At 34.5% G+C, this 15,591-nt stretch overlaps 1 long non-coding RNA gene across 1 annotated transcript; it reads right to left on the bottom strand.

Annotated features, from left to right (window-relative positions):
* Positions 1-13,421: 13,421 nt before the first annotated feature.
* LOC112268449 (uncharacterized) lies at positions 13,422-15,160 on the bottom strand. Its single transcript, XR_002959652.2, has 2 exons — positions 15,021-15,160; positions 13,422-14,749 (listed from the first exon to the last, which is right to left on the bottom strand). It is a non-coding gene; the product is annotated as an uncharacterized LOC112268449 (long non-coding RNA).
* Between the last annotated feature and the right edge of the window lie 431 nt (positions 15,161-15,591).

Genomic DNA, 15,591 nt, shown 5'->3' on the forward strand with positions numbered 1-15,591 from the left:
TCGACTTATCTTCTGAGCATCAGCTATACAGAACTTATTTCAATTCGCCAAGCATGTCCTATACCTGCTTGCTTCCAAGCCTTGCCATGTGGTGCTCCCTCTTTCTAGAAAACCCCTCCCACTATTTATCCCTTTTCATCCCCATGGAGACTTGGTATCACTTCTTGCATGTTAATTTCTTATGGATATGTATGTACTTCTCTAAGTGATTTGGGATCTATCCCAAGCACTTTCATTTTATCCTATAATCTCCCTGTAAAGTTACATATATTATTTCCCTCTACTATAAATAATAAACAACATGAATACAGTACTTATACATTCCTTGTTCACCATTGTGTCCCACATGCTAGGCACAGTGCATGGTATATAAATATTATGTTTATATAATATATGAATGAATGAATATATGCATTAAAAATGACTTAGCAAAACATTTTTAAAACTTCCATGTTCTTCACCATGCCTTTCTTTCTGGCTTTACCACCTCCACATAGCCCAATATGGTACATTACACATGCAATTAGGGTTTCCAAATGGATTATGTTTTCTGCCACCTCTGTGTCTTTGCACACTCGCCCTCTCTGGAGTGCTCCCATATGGCTTCTTCACATGGACTACTCAGCTGAAACTTCAACTCTTCTAAAAACCAGTTTTTCCAAAAATTCACTGACATGTCATCCGCTTGACTCCTAACACCTGTTAGGCCATTTCTCTGTTAAATCACCTTTCACTACTACTACACAAATAAGATTCTTCTTTTCAAAGCTAGTGATGATATTTTGGTGTAACTTTTTATCAAATATCTAGCAGAGAAACTAACAAATAAGAACCAATCACTGTTTACTGAATAAAAGAGGGAAGAGGCAATCCTAATGACTCATGATGTTTTAGTGGCCTGATGGGTTAAAAAATTTTAGGTATGACGTTATATATCTGAACGTCAATTCTCAGGAGTAATTAAATAAAATAAAAATTACATACACATTAGCTTCCTTTACATTTCATGTTCACTAACGGTAAATTTTGTTGAACCATTTCTTCATAGTCAACAAAAAGGAACTATTTATATTTTAGAGTTGAGCAGTAAATCAGAACCTCTAAGAAATCTTACCTGATTTGAGTAAACCAAATTAGCCTTACTACCTTTATACCATGAAGAGAATTTCTGCTGCCAACTATATTTACATTAGATGAAATGAAAGGTGAAGGCTTCATTTATTCAACTACTCACCTGTTCCTCAGCAAGAACTTAATATCAGCCCAATTTTTTGGAAAAACTTATTTTGATTTAATTTTAAGGTATTTCAATATTTCCAGTTTTCAAATAACATTTTAACAATATTTGATGCCCTAAAAACTAAAAGAAAATGTATACAATAACATACACATGAAATAAGATATTCTCTAGATTTCTCTGAATCTCAAAACTAATTAATGAAGATTTTACAACTCAGAAAATAATTATTACTTGAGTTCTTAAAAAATAGAAGAAAAACGAAGTTGCAACAACATTTTTTTTTCTTACATACAAGGACAATTGTTATTCATTGCTTTCTTGAAGCAGTTGATGCATCTTTGGCATGATTAATTTTTCTTAACAGCTATATCATGTTTTGAATTTACTACATAACCAAGTTTTAAGCTTATAATGTTCCAAAGTTGAAAAGAGAACATAACTTATGAAGTGCTTGTAATACCTATATGTATGTTTGAAAATCATTAAGTAGTTGTTACTCTCTCTTCCCCAGCATCAATTACTCCACTCTAAATTTACTTACTCCACTCAATATAATGAGCTCCCAGAGCACGTTTCATTTCAGGGGAAAGTACACATTCTTCACTTGTGGTCAGTGGGATGTGGTTAATTTGAAATCACTTAAACTATTATATCTGTCAAGTGCAGTTATTTTATTTTCAATTCACATCAGTGTTTTAGTATGCATGTCAGTTACTAGGTCAAACTGACAGATTAATTCAGGAGCATTTTGTTGCAATGCTCTTCATCACTGTCATTGTATGTAGGCCACTACCGAAAATTAATACCTGCCCATTAAAATTGATTGCCAAAGATATCACCTTTAATGTAAACAATAATGTATAGATAAGAAAATGGTGCTAAATTAGCTATTATGGTTCACAGCTCCTATAGTATGGGCCATTCAGTTATGGAAAATATTTCAGGAATATTAAACTTTGAAAGCAACAAGATACTGAAAAAAGCTTTTGGAATGCTGTAATAGTCCTGGAAATAGTCTGGTGAGGCTTTTAGTATTATTTTAGTCTGTTGCTCCTTATTATAGCTAGGATTTCAAATGTGTGTGTGTTTGTGTGTGTGTGTGTGTGTGTGTGTGCAGGGAGAGAGAGACAGAGAGAGAGACAGAGAGAGAGACACAGAGAGAGAGAGAGTTGATTTACTTTAAGGCATAATATTTAAAGGTGAATATTGCATTGGAAAAAAGGTCTATGTTAAACTTGTAAAAAAAAATAGAGACACTGAGAAACTGGCTGGGTCTATCTCAATAATAAATAGCCATGAATTAATAAAAAGTAATAGAATTTAAATGAGCATTTGGAAAATATACTGCCACAATAGCATACATGCTGCATTAGTAAACTGTATTTTTGCCACATGTAGCCATGCTTTCATCATTTTATAATACTGCCAACAATACTGAGCATTTGATAGTGAACAGGTCTACAGTTTTCTTGGGAGTTGTATAAATAAGGTGAAGCTTTGATTAATATTATATAGTAGCAAAGATATAAAATTCAAAACAACAACCATAAAAACTTATCAAACACTAAAAAAATTCATTTCCTCATAAAAGAAGAACTATATACTCTGGAAATAGTGCTTTGAAGTTACACCACTTTTATTAAAGTGGTAGTACAACAGGAAATACAGCATAACCTTTATTCACAGGCACCCAGAGCTGAAACCTTCAAACATCTATGCAAAACTGGAAACTACACAAAAAATAACTAGGCACAGCCCAAGAAGACCCAGAAATGTAGTATAGAAGCAACCCCCATGAAACCTTTTGGCCATGGCAGAAACACCAAAAGATGTTACTTTGAAAGACTATGCAACACTGCATCAAGAATGAGAGCGCAATGAAGTATTCCTGGTAGAAATTAGTGAAATCTTTCTTATCTGGGAAGTGTGGATCAGCACTCTCCATATCGCTTTCCTGATAATTCAGAAATATTCTGCTTCTGACCTGCAAGCTTTGATTCCTTACAATATGTGTATCTTTTCAGTACGCTAATCCAGTCAGTAAATCATCAGCTACAGTGCAACAAAAGTGTAGTTTTAAATTAAACCAATTAACAAAAAACCTTGACTCTTCTCATTAAATTCTGAAATTCTTGTGTTCTACCTGTGTGTTCTTTGAAGAATGTGTTTTTAATATTCTGAATTAATCCGTGTAGCGAAATATTGAGAAGAGCAAATCTAACTTTGTTTTTAAAATATATTTCTAGTTCATTTGACATTGCTGATTAAGTTCTAGTGGCTAGTTCAAAAGTATACACTTATGGAACAGAAAAGGGTTGAAAAATAAACATCATTCAAACTATCTTAATCCTATAGTAAATAACTGAGTTTATAGACTAAAAGCAGTTAACTAAAAAATCCTTAATTTTTGAAGTCGACACAGTTATACTTGAGAGCCCCAACATAAATTTCTATTCACATTTGTTTCTTTGGAAAATAATTTAGTAGGATGATAATTGGTACACTGTTACTAAAGGGTTTGAGAAGCACAGAATTAAAACTGTTAAACTGCTTTTTTGTGTTTGGTATGGATTTTACTGTGCTATTATGCACATATTATGCATATGCATATGTGCTAACATAATACGACTTTTTTGTAATCTCAGAAAATCATACTTTGGGGCAATATACAAAACATTTATCTCTAGTAATGTTAGTAAATATGAGGGTTAACCCAAGTTAATTTACGGAGTTACCTCTAACCCAAAGGTTCTCAATGTTATTCATGAGAATCTTCTGTGAGGCTTTATTAAAAATGCCTGCAATACATCCAGATCTATTGAAGAGGAGCAATGGGGTAAGGTCTTTAATTGTATAATTTTAGTAAGTTCGATAAAGGATTCTCAAGTTAACTCTTGTTTAAGAAACACTGCTCTGAATATTGTTGTTACTTTCTCTCCAAGATTCATCTCCATTTATATCTCTATAGCTACCTAATCATATTGTTTACATGTTGTAGCTCTAGTCTTCCCTTACAAGCCAGATTAAGATGGCAATATTCAAGACAGTCTTGAATAAAAGCACCTACTAACAGAAAATTTGTAAAATTAGATGCTCTAACAGAGTTTATATCAATCCCCAAAACTTGAAGCTATAATAAGGGCATTAAATACATAATAATAACATGAAGATAAAATATAATTCTCTAACAAATCAAGCTACCTTTCTCTTTCAAAATCCAACTTAAGACTTTCAGTTTTCAGTTCTGCATGTAAGTATCCTGGAAGTTGCCACTCCTTTCTAACAACTAGTGAAAAGCTGAACAGACTGAAAAAACCAAGAACTCTTCTTGAATTCATAAAAGAGGTAAGGACACAGGGCAAACTTCTACACCTAAAATTGGGAGAAAGACAGGTGACTACAGGGAGTCACAGCTTACCAGAACAGAAACTCATGAGTGGAAATCACTTCAGGAGCCAGTTCTGGATTAGGAAAACTTGAACTGTAATTGATGAGTTGCTGGAGGCTTGGTGTGGAGAGTATGAGAATTAAAAACTCCATGAAAACTCAGTTATTGTGGGGGTCCCTGCACATTTGTGAGTTTTACCTACAGAAGTCAACCAGGTTCTCAAAGTAAATAGAGAAAAATTCCCTTGTGCTTTCAGCAGGAGAGGGGCAAAGGAACTATTTTGAAATATGCCAGAGCACCCAACTTCTTAACAAGGCCTGCCCTCAGGAGAATGTATTTAACCAGGGCCTAATCTCCTGGTGGTTTTATCAGAGCCTAACAGACTCAGAGGAAGGGAGAATACCCAACTCCAGCCAGTTTTAGACATCCTGTCTCACCTAAGGGAGGTGGGAGAGACTAGAAAATACTTGTGAATTTCACAGTCCAGCAGCTATGATTAGGTCTCAATAAAAGACTGAAACTCAGTCATAGGTCCAGCAAGTACTTTCCCTCCCCCGCCAAACACCTTACCACCATATTACTAAAGGTCTATTTATAGCAGTTCTTTTTGCCTGGTATATCATGTACAGCTACCAAGAAAAAATTACAAGGCATACTAAGAAACAAAAAACACAATTTGAAGAGATAGAACCAGTCCTGGCAGGGATGCTGAAATGATCAAATCAGTATTTAAAACAACTATGGTTAATACGTTAAGAGGTTTAATACATAGCACAGACAGCATGCAAGAACAGATGGGCAATATAAGCAGAGAAATGAAAATTCTAAGAAAGAACCAAAAACAAATGCTACAGGTCAAAAACACTAATGGAAATGAAGAATGCCTTTGATGGGCTCATTATTTGTGTGAACGTGGTTGAGGAAAGAATCTCTGAGCTTGAGGATATATCAGTAGAAACCTCCAAACTGAAAAACAAGGAGAACAAAGTCGGGGAATAAAATAGAAAAAAAAATCCAAAGACTATGAGAAAACTACAAAAGGTGCAACATATGAATAATGAGAATATCAGAAGGAGGAAAAAAAAGAGCAAGGAATAGAAGAAATATTTAAAATGATAATGACAGAATTTCTTCCCAAGTAATGTCAGATTATAGCTCTTGAAGGCTCAAAGAATGTCAAGCAAGGTAGATGCAAAAACCACGAAACGAAACAAAAACCTACACCCAAGCATATCATTTTTAAACTACAGACAGAAAATAAAAAAAAAATCTTGAAAGAAGCCAGAGGATAAAAGACCTTACCTATGGAAGGATGAAGATGAGAATCATACCTGACTTCTCCTCAGAAACTATGCAGGCAAGAAGACAATGGAATGAAATAGTTAAAGTGTTGACACAGACAAAAACATCAATCTAGAATGCTGTACTGTGAAATTATCCTTCAAAGGCAAAAGATAAATAAAGACCTCTCACATGAACAAGGTTTGAGGAAATTTGTTGCTAGTAGACCCGTCTTAGAAGAAATGTTAAAACAAGTTCTTTAGAGACAAGGAAAATGAGACAGATCAGAAACTAAGATTTACAAAAAGAAAGGAACACTAAAGAAGGGATAAATGAAAGTAAAGTGAAAACTTTTATTTTTCTTATTCTTAATTGATCTAACAGATAGTTTCTTTAAAATTATAACAGCAGCAATGTATTTGATATGCACACATTTATATCTTCTCTGTGTATATATATTTACATATGTTTATATATAATAAAATAAATGACAGAAATTGTAAGAGGAATACATGGGGAAATTAGGATTATTTTGTTATTATATAGTACTCACACAACCTGTGAAGTTATATGGTGTTATCTGAAAGTGACCTTAGATTAGTTGTAAATGTATATTGCAAAATCTAGGGAAGCCATTTTTTTAATTTATAAAAGAAGTATAACTGATATGCTAAGAAAGGAGAGAAAATAGAATATGAAATGCTCACTTAAAACCAACAAAGAGCTCATACTCGTAATCCCAACATTTGGGAGACTGAGGCAAGAGGATTGCTTGAGGCCTTGAGTTTGAAACCAGCCTGAGCAACATAATGAGACCCCCATCTCTACAAAAAAAAAAAAAAAAATAGCTTGGCATGGTCATATGCACCTGTAGTCCCAGCTACTTGATGGCTTAGGTGGAAAGATTGCTTGAGCCTGGGAGGTTGAGGCCATAGTGAGCCATGATCACACCACTGCACGCCAGCCTGGGCAAGAGAGACCCTGTCTGAAAACACACACACACACACACACACACACACACACAATAGAAGAAGAGTGGAAGGCAAAAATAGGAACAAAGAACAAGAGCAACCAATAGAAAACAGTAACAAATGTGATAGATATTAGTCCAACCATATCAATAATCACTTTGAACATCAACAGTCTAAATGCACCAATTAAAAAACAGATACTGTAAAGTGAATGAAAAGCAAGACCCAACTATATATTGCCTATAAAATAAACCCACTTTAAGTATACAGACATATTTAGTTTAAAAGCAAATATATTAAGAAAAATATACCATACTAATACTAATCAAAAGAAAGTAGAATTACTATATTAATTTCAAACAGAGCAGACTTCACAGCAAGACAAATTATCAGAGATAAAGAAAGGCATTACATAATAATAAAGAAGTCAGTCTCCAAGAACACATAACAATACTTAACATGTAACAACAGACCATCAAACTATTTGAGAGAAAAACTGATAGAACTGTATGGGAAAGATAAATCCACTATTACAGTTAAAGATTTCAACACTCTTTTATCAGAAATGGACAGATACAGCAGGCAGAAAATTAAAAAGGGTATAGTTGAACTCAACAACACCATCAATCAACTAGATATTATTGACATTAATAAACTACTCAATAGCAACAGAATACACATTTTCCTCAAGCTCACATGGAATGTTCATCAAGACAGACTATATTTTGGGCAGTAAAACACATTGTAACATATTTAAAAGGTTAGAAATAACACAATGTCTTGTCTCAGACCACAATAGAATTACATTAGAAATCAATAAGAGAAGGATAACTGGAAAGTTTCAAAAGTTGTAGAGACTAAGTAACACACTTCTAAGTAACACATGAATCAAATGAGAAATTTCAAAAATAATTTTTAAATATTTTGAACTAAATGAAAATGAAAAAATTTATCAACTTTTTGGGATGGAGCAATATCAGAGCTAAGAGAGAAAATTATAGCACTGAATGAATATATTAGAAAAAAAACAAAGATCTAAACATCAATAATCTAAATTTAAACCTTAGGAAACTAGAGAGAAAAAGAGTAAATTAAAATCATAATAGGCAGAAGGAAAAAAAGAATTAGACCAGAAATCAATACATTTGAAATCAGAAAATCAGTGGAGAAAAATTAACAAAACCAAAAGCTCATTATTTGAAAAGAACAATATAATTAATTAAACTTTAGCCAGCCTAGCTAAAAACAAAGAGAGAGAACACAATTATTAAAATCAGTAATGAAAGAGGGGCAACATTATAGATCCCATGGACGCTAAACAGATCATCAAGAAATACTATGAATAAGTCTATGTCTACAAATTTGATAACCTAGATGAAATAGATCAATTCTTGAAAGATACAATCTGCCCAAAACTCTGATATAGCCAATCTGAATAAAATTATATCTATTAAATAATTTGAATCAATAATTAATAAAGTTTCAAAACAGAAAGCACCAGGCCTAGATGGGTTCACTTGTAAATTCTACCAAACATTTAAGGAAGAAATTTACCAATTCTTGGTAGTCTCTTTCAGAAGATAAGAGTAGAGGGAAGGCTGGGTGCTGTGGCTCAAGCCTGTAATCTCAGCACTTTGGGAGGCTGAGGAGGGCAGATCATTTGTCATCAGGAGTTTGAGACCAGCCTGGCCAACATGGTGAAACCCCATCTTTACTAAAAATATAAAAAATTAGCTGGGCGGGGTGGCTCACACCTGTGGGAGGGGAGTGATGGGTGGAAGTTGCAGTGAGCTAAGATTGTGCCACTGCACTCTGACTTGGGCAACAGAGCAAGAATCTGTTTCGAGAGAAAGAGAGAGAGAGAGAGAGGGAATTCTTTCTAACTTTCTCATTCTATAGGGCTAGCATTACCTTAATACCAAAAAAAAAAGAAGTCAAAGATATTATAAGAAAAGAAAATCACGGACCAACATCTCTCAGGAACAAAGATGCAAAAATCCCCAACAAAATATTAGCAAATCAAATCCAACAATGTGTTAAGGGAATTATGCACTATAACAAAGAGGGATTTATACCAGTTATGCAAGGCTGGTCTAACATTTGAAATCAATGAATGTAATCCATCACATCAACAGATTAAAGAAGAAAAATTGCATAATTGTATAAATAGATACAGAAGATGCATTTGACAAATCCAACATCCATTCATGAATTAAAAAAAAACTCTTAATAAACTATTTCTAATTTAAATTATTATTTTAAAAATATGTTTATTTTAACTTTCCTGAAAAAATACATTTTTGTTTTCATTCCTTTTAAGCTGTGACCATTCACAAAGTCAACAGAACAGTCTACTCTAGTTTATCAGGTTATTTATAGTTGAAGACTGCAGACTACATTAATGGCAACTATACTTTGAAAAAGACAATTATTTTCACTGGTAGCAGAAAAATCTATTTTGACTATACCTTTTGTCAGCTGGTTAATCATATTTTAAGAGTTATCTTAAAATATAATCTCCCCAAAATTAAGCTAAACATTTAATAGCCAAACTTTCAATAACAAATAAATGTACCAATTCATTGATAATAAGTATTTGCTTGTGGTACATGGAGGATGCTCAAATAGGTGTTGTAATTTCATGGTCATGAGACTTAAGCAAACAATATACAAAAATATTACGTGTATTTGCTTTAAAAATGAAACCTAACTATCAAAGTACTTAAATCGTAAAATGATACATTTCTGTGGCTTCTTTTCTCTCTGACACTTGGCATGTAAACTTGTTGTTTCTTCCAAAATATTTGATTAAAGCAAAAACATCATTTACTTAATTAGAACGAGTCATGTCAATACTGCCTTTAAAAAATGCTAGAATATTGTTCTTGTGAATACCGAATCAAAATAGAACAAAATGCAAAACTTCCAGAAAGTTAATATCAAAGTAATGACCTTCATAATATTAATTATGACATATTTTACGTGTTCTATTAAATTTCTGTTATCTTAAAATATTAAAAACTGCCTTAGTCTGATTTCCAGAATCTATATGGAACTTAAATCAAAAAGCAAAAAACAAATCACCCCATTTAAAAATAGATAAAGGACATGAACAGAAACCTCTCAAAAGAAGACATAAAAGTAGCCAACAAACATGTTTTTAAAAATACTCAGCTTCACTAAGCATCAGAGGAATGCAAATTAAAACCACAACGAAATACCATCTCACACCAGTCAGAATGGTTATTATTAAAAAGTCAAAAAATAACAGAGGCTGGTTAGACTCCAGAGAAAAGGGAATACTTATACACTGTTGGTGGGAATGTAAATTAGTTCAGCCACTATAGAAACAGTTTGGAAATTTCTCAGAGAATTTAAAACAGACCTACCATTTGACCCAGAAATGCTATCATTGGATATATATTCAAAGAAAAATAAATTATTGTACCAAAAAAGACACATGCAACCATATGTTCGTCGCCACACTATTCACTATAGCAAAGACATGGAATCAATCTATGTACCCATCAATAGTGGGTTGCATAAAGAAAACATGGTACATATACACTGTGGAATACTATACAGCCATAAAGAATGAAATTGTATTTTTTTGCAGCAACATGGATGGAGCTGGAGGTCATAATACTAAGTGAATTAATGAAGAAACAGAAAACCAAATACTACATGTTTTCACTTATATGTGGGAGCTAAACATTGAACACACATGGACATAAACCTGGGAACAATAGACATTGTGGGCTACTAGAGGAGGGAGGAAAGGAGTAGGGCATGGGTTGAAAAACTACCTATTGGGTACTATGTTCACTACCTGGGTGCAATATGCCCATGTAACAAAACTGCACATGTATCTCCTTATCGAAAACAAAAGTTTAAAAAAATGCCTTTGGGAAAAGCCTTCAAGACCAGTTTACAAATCATTTGAGAAAAGCAGCTTTATTAAGATAACAGTAGCCACTTTTAATGGTTATTGTATATTATGGAAATTGGCAATAAATGTAGCTATGTTGGTAAAATAAACTTTAAGTTGAAAAATATTAGAGGTAAGACCTAAAAAGAAGGGATAATATGAACTTATCTAAGGCTAAGTACCCTTACTGACTGATTTGTTTGGGAATTTTTTAAATACATAAATATCTTTTTAGCTGAATTTTTTCATTGAATTTTAGTTTTATAATATATATTTTAAACTCAAGAGTAACTGCACTTTTACCCATCTCTAATACAATATTTCCTTTCTCTAAGAAGCAGAACAATTTCAGAATAATAACTTTCAGTGAAATCAATCAGCTGATAAAAATGGCAGGTTCACACCTCTGGTAGGAGTACAGTGTTGATGAAGACAAGTTCACAGGTTTGATCCCTAAGTGGGCCAATTTACTTTGCTACAGGCAGTCCCTCAGACCCAGGACTGACATCCTGAAAATGGGAGCCATCAGTCATAAGGAAAAAGTATAGGTGAAGTAGACCTAACTTATCCCCACTGTGGGAGAACAACTCCAAATACAAACCAGCTAAAGGTTATGCCATGGCATTTTTCTTGTAAATAAAAGAGGGAACTTGGCTGGGCTTGGTGGTTAAGACTGTAATCCCAACACTTTGGGAGGCTGAGGCAGGAGGATTGCTTGAGTCTGGGAGGTCAAGGCTGCAGTGAATCCTGATTGTGTCACTGCACTCCAGCCTGGGCAACAGAGCAAGACTCTCTCAAAAAAAAAAAAAAAAAAAAGAGGGAACTTTCTTCCAAATGTAGTCATTGGCCCTGGTCAGAATGTAAATCTGATCTCCAGAAACGTACTTTAAGATCAAGTATGTCAACAATTACTGAACTAGTAATGAATTATTAGATAGATGTGGGGAGACACCAAAATAGTGTATGAATTTATTTATAATATATTCTTTACCAACTTCCCATAAAGATTGGCTGCTGCTCAAAAAGAAAATACAGCTACTAGCTAAGAAATTATGGTAATAGATTGGATAGAATAAAAATCATCAAAGCATTCTGTGTCAAAGTTTCATTTCACTCATTAATGTGGGAACTAGCAAGATGACAAAGTAGTTCCAAACAGTATTTGAAAAACAGAAACTTTTAGTCAGTAGGAAAAAAGAAAAACCTGAAATAAAGTGCCAAATTAGACACAAAGTTGGTAAAATTACAGGAAAACAAAACCATCACGCCTTACCAGTTTTACAGAAGTATAAAAAATGCCCTTAATCTGTACTGTAAACAAAGCCATATTCTGTTAGAGAATATTAGAAACATCTGGGAAGCTTTTTAAGCTGCCAATAAGTATGTCTTACCTCTGATATTCTCATTTAGTTGGAAACAGGTGAGGTCTGAGTAGAAGGAGTTTTAAAACCTCTCCAGGTGATTTTAAGATGCAAGCAAGTTTGAGAACCACTGCGTTAGAAAGAGACATGGACTTTTACATGGGTTTTCAAAAATTTGCCCTAGCATCTTGTTACTCAAAATGTGGCTTATGATTCAGGAGCATTGATACCACCTGAGACTATTTAAAATTGAGTATCTGGGGGCCCCACCCCAGATGCACTGAATCAGAATCTACAATCTGAAAATATTTCCAGGTGATTCAGGAGCACATTAAACTTCGAGAGGCACTTCTGTAACATGATATTGAAATGACTGTAATCATCTTTTTGCCTCATTTCCAAGTTTTAGGAAACTTTTCCTGGGATAACACCAACATGAAACTGCCACCATACTGAAACACTCAAAATTTTAAAAATTGGTAAATATCACTAAAAAGACCTCAGGTAGCACTTTAAAGATAAGAATGTCTGTGGTAAAGGGAGTCAGCTGTAAGCTGGAAAGTCTGAACTAAATCAGTCAATGGTCCCACTTCCAAGGATTCTCAGGTACCAGTTGAACCTGGGACAATCGGACTAGAAATATTTAAGATAAATACATAGTTGCTTAAGGAAGCCTAAAGTTAAGATCATGTTTTATGTAGCCATCAATCACCTTTACTAAGAGCTGCTGGGAACTTGGGGCTGGCAGATTCCACATGTGTCCATTGTTTGAATGCCTAATTAGGGAAAGGTACAAAAATTTCAATGAAAGTGTTTTAAGCCACTTACCCAGCGTCTAATTGTTAAAATTTTGATGGTCCACGTGTAAATGCAGACTTAGTTTTAACTCCGTTCTGTAAAAGCCTGGAAGGAAATTCGCTGCCTTTTGACTATTAAAATTAGGGGCATAGTATTCAGGCAACAGTACCTTCTGTATGACTATTGACACTCATATTCTCTTTTCTTTAAATAACTCAGGAAGAGAAACATTTTCCAGAGATTGTTCAATGATTCAAGGTCCTTACACATAATCAATAGGGAAATGGATCAAATAAAGGGGTCCTAGTTGCCAATTCTTGAATTTTTCTTAATAAGAGGAATATGACAAAAGAGAAAGTAAGAACTTTCTGAGGAAATGTTCTCTTTGTATGGTAGAAGATTCTCTGCTGTTGAAAATGGATGCATTATGCTAAGAAGTCACACTACAAACATGTTTAATTCATTCATTTAATTCAAAAATATTAAATTTATCCATGCTCGTTATAACGGCAGGCACTCTGGTAGCTACTAGACATACAATATTAAGTGATACTATATATTTGCCACTCTCATAGAGCTTACAGTCCAATGAGACAGACAGTAGACTAATAGCAATAGCAACATGAACAATAAAAATTAATTAAAAGTTAATAAAAGTGCTGGGAAAGCAAAAAGAGCATGTCATGGTAGAGAACACTGCAGCAGGGGCTACTTCAGTAGGGTATTCAGAACTTCTCCCATTCAAAAGACACTGTGCACTATTGTAGAGAAAAAAACATAGCAACCTGCCCCCTCTCACAGCTCAACTGAGACCTAGTATTTCCTCTGAGAAACATCATTTCCAACTTTTTAAAATCAAAGCAACATTTACCATTCTTTGGTCTGACCCCACCGTGGAGATATGTTTCAAATTTTACAGATGCTGATTTAGTGTCCTATCCGCAGATTTAGCATCGCCTCTGGAGGATAGGTCCTACACCAGAGTTTTTAGTCAGTCAGTTATAAACTCCACTCTCCTGATATGCAAATAATTTCAAGCCTGCTATTTTAGCATTTTAGTATATTCTCTTACCCACACCAATCATTTTATAGAAGGTTTCTCAACAGTTGCACTATTGACATTCTGGGCCAGAAAAGTTTTTATGGAGATAGGGGCTGTCCTGAGCTCTGCAGGATATTCAGCAGCATCCGTGACCTCTACCCACTAGATGCCAGTAGCACCTATCCCCTCCGTAAGTTATGACAGCGAAAAACATCTTGACATTGCCAAATGTGCCCTGGGCTGGCGGTCAAAATCTGCTCCCCTACCCCTATTGAGAACCACTGAATTAATACTTTTGCTACTCTGTTGCTAGGTAGAAATACTGATTTAATTAGAGATTTAAACTACTCAAGACAGGTTCTCTCTGAGTTTTATATAGATTACAGAGTTTAAGACCTCATGATAATTAATACTGAAAAAATCTTTTGTTACTTATTAAAACTAAAACCTCATTAAAACAGCTAAATTTAAATGTTGAAAAATTAAAATGCATCAGAGCCTGGAGTCAAGTGTTTAAATAAACAGCTGAAGGTGCTTTAGGGGCACTCCTCCAGGACACATGCTGGACACCGAGACAGGTAAGCATCTTGGCCACTGGATTTCCCTCCATTGCTGAAATCTCTGCCACTGCAACAAAAGAACACTTTACAGCTCACCACCTGTCAGTGACGAGGATTATTCTGCTATCCTTATTACATAATTCCCAGGTCTTCCGCACTTTTGATTCTAAACAGATGAAGCTGGAAGAAAAAGAAAAAAGGAAAGAAGAAAGTTGTAAGATGGATACAGTTGAATGAAGCATAGACTGAGATCACTCCTGTTAGGGATGTAACTTCTCACATAAAGAAGTAGAGAAAGCTCCTTCCCATCCTTGCTTGAGTCGAGAGTTTATTAAATTAATTTGCATATAATGGTTAATTTACTAATGAACAATTTTTCACAAACTGTTCCAGTAGCACTTATCAATTTGTGACTTCTCCTTATGCCGTAGTAAAATCTTCAAAAACTTACTCTTAGAGTATTTTGACAAGACGGCTGGGCGCGGTGGCTCATGCCTGTAATCCCAACACTTTGGGAGGCTGAGGCGGGTAGATCACGAGGTCAGGAGACCGAGACCATCCTGGCTAACACAGTAAAACCCCGTCTCTGCTAAAAATACAAAAACAAAAAATTAGCCAGGCATGGTGTGGGGCGCCTGTAGACCCAGCTACTCAGGAGGCTGAGGCGGGAGAATGGCGTGAACCCGGGAGGCGGAGCTTGCAGTGAGCCGAGATTTTGCCACTCCAGCCTGGGCGACAGAGCGAGACTCTGTCTCAAAAAAAAAAAAAGAGAATATTTTGACAAGATGTTAGATCACGGATGTACAGTAAAGAGTACGATGAATATTTAAAATTATGTAATTCTCAGAGCAATTTTTAAAGAAAATAACTATTATCTGTTTAAAAATATTTTGCCTGGGAGTATAATATGGTATAAGTATTTTTCAGAACTGTTTGGCTATCTCTTACAAAGTTAGATTACATGTACCTATGATCAAATAAAATGAAAACATATATCCCAGAAAAGACTTGTATAAAAATGT

Source organism: Homo sapiens, chromosome 3 (assembly GCF_000001405.40).
Source record: "Homo sapiens chromosome 3, GRCh38.p14 Primary Assembly".
Taxonomy (NCBI): domain Eukaryota; kingdom Metazoa; phylum Chordata; class Mammalia; order Primates; family Hominidae; genus Homo; species Homo sapiens.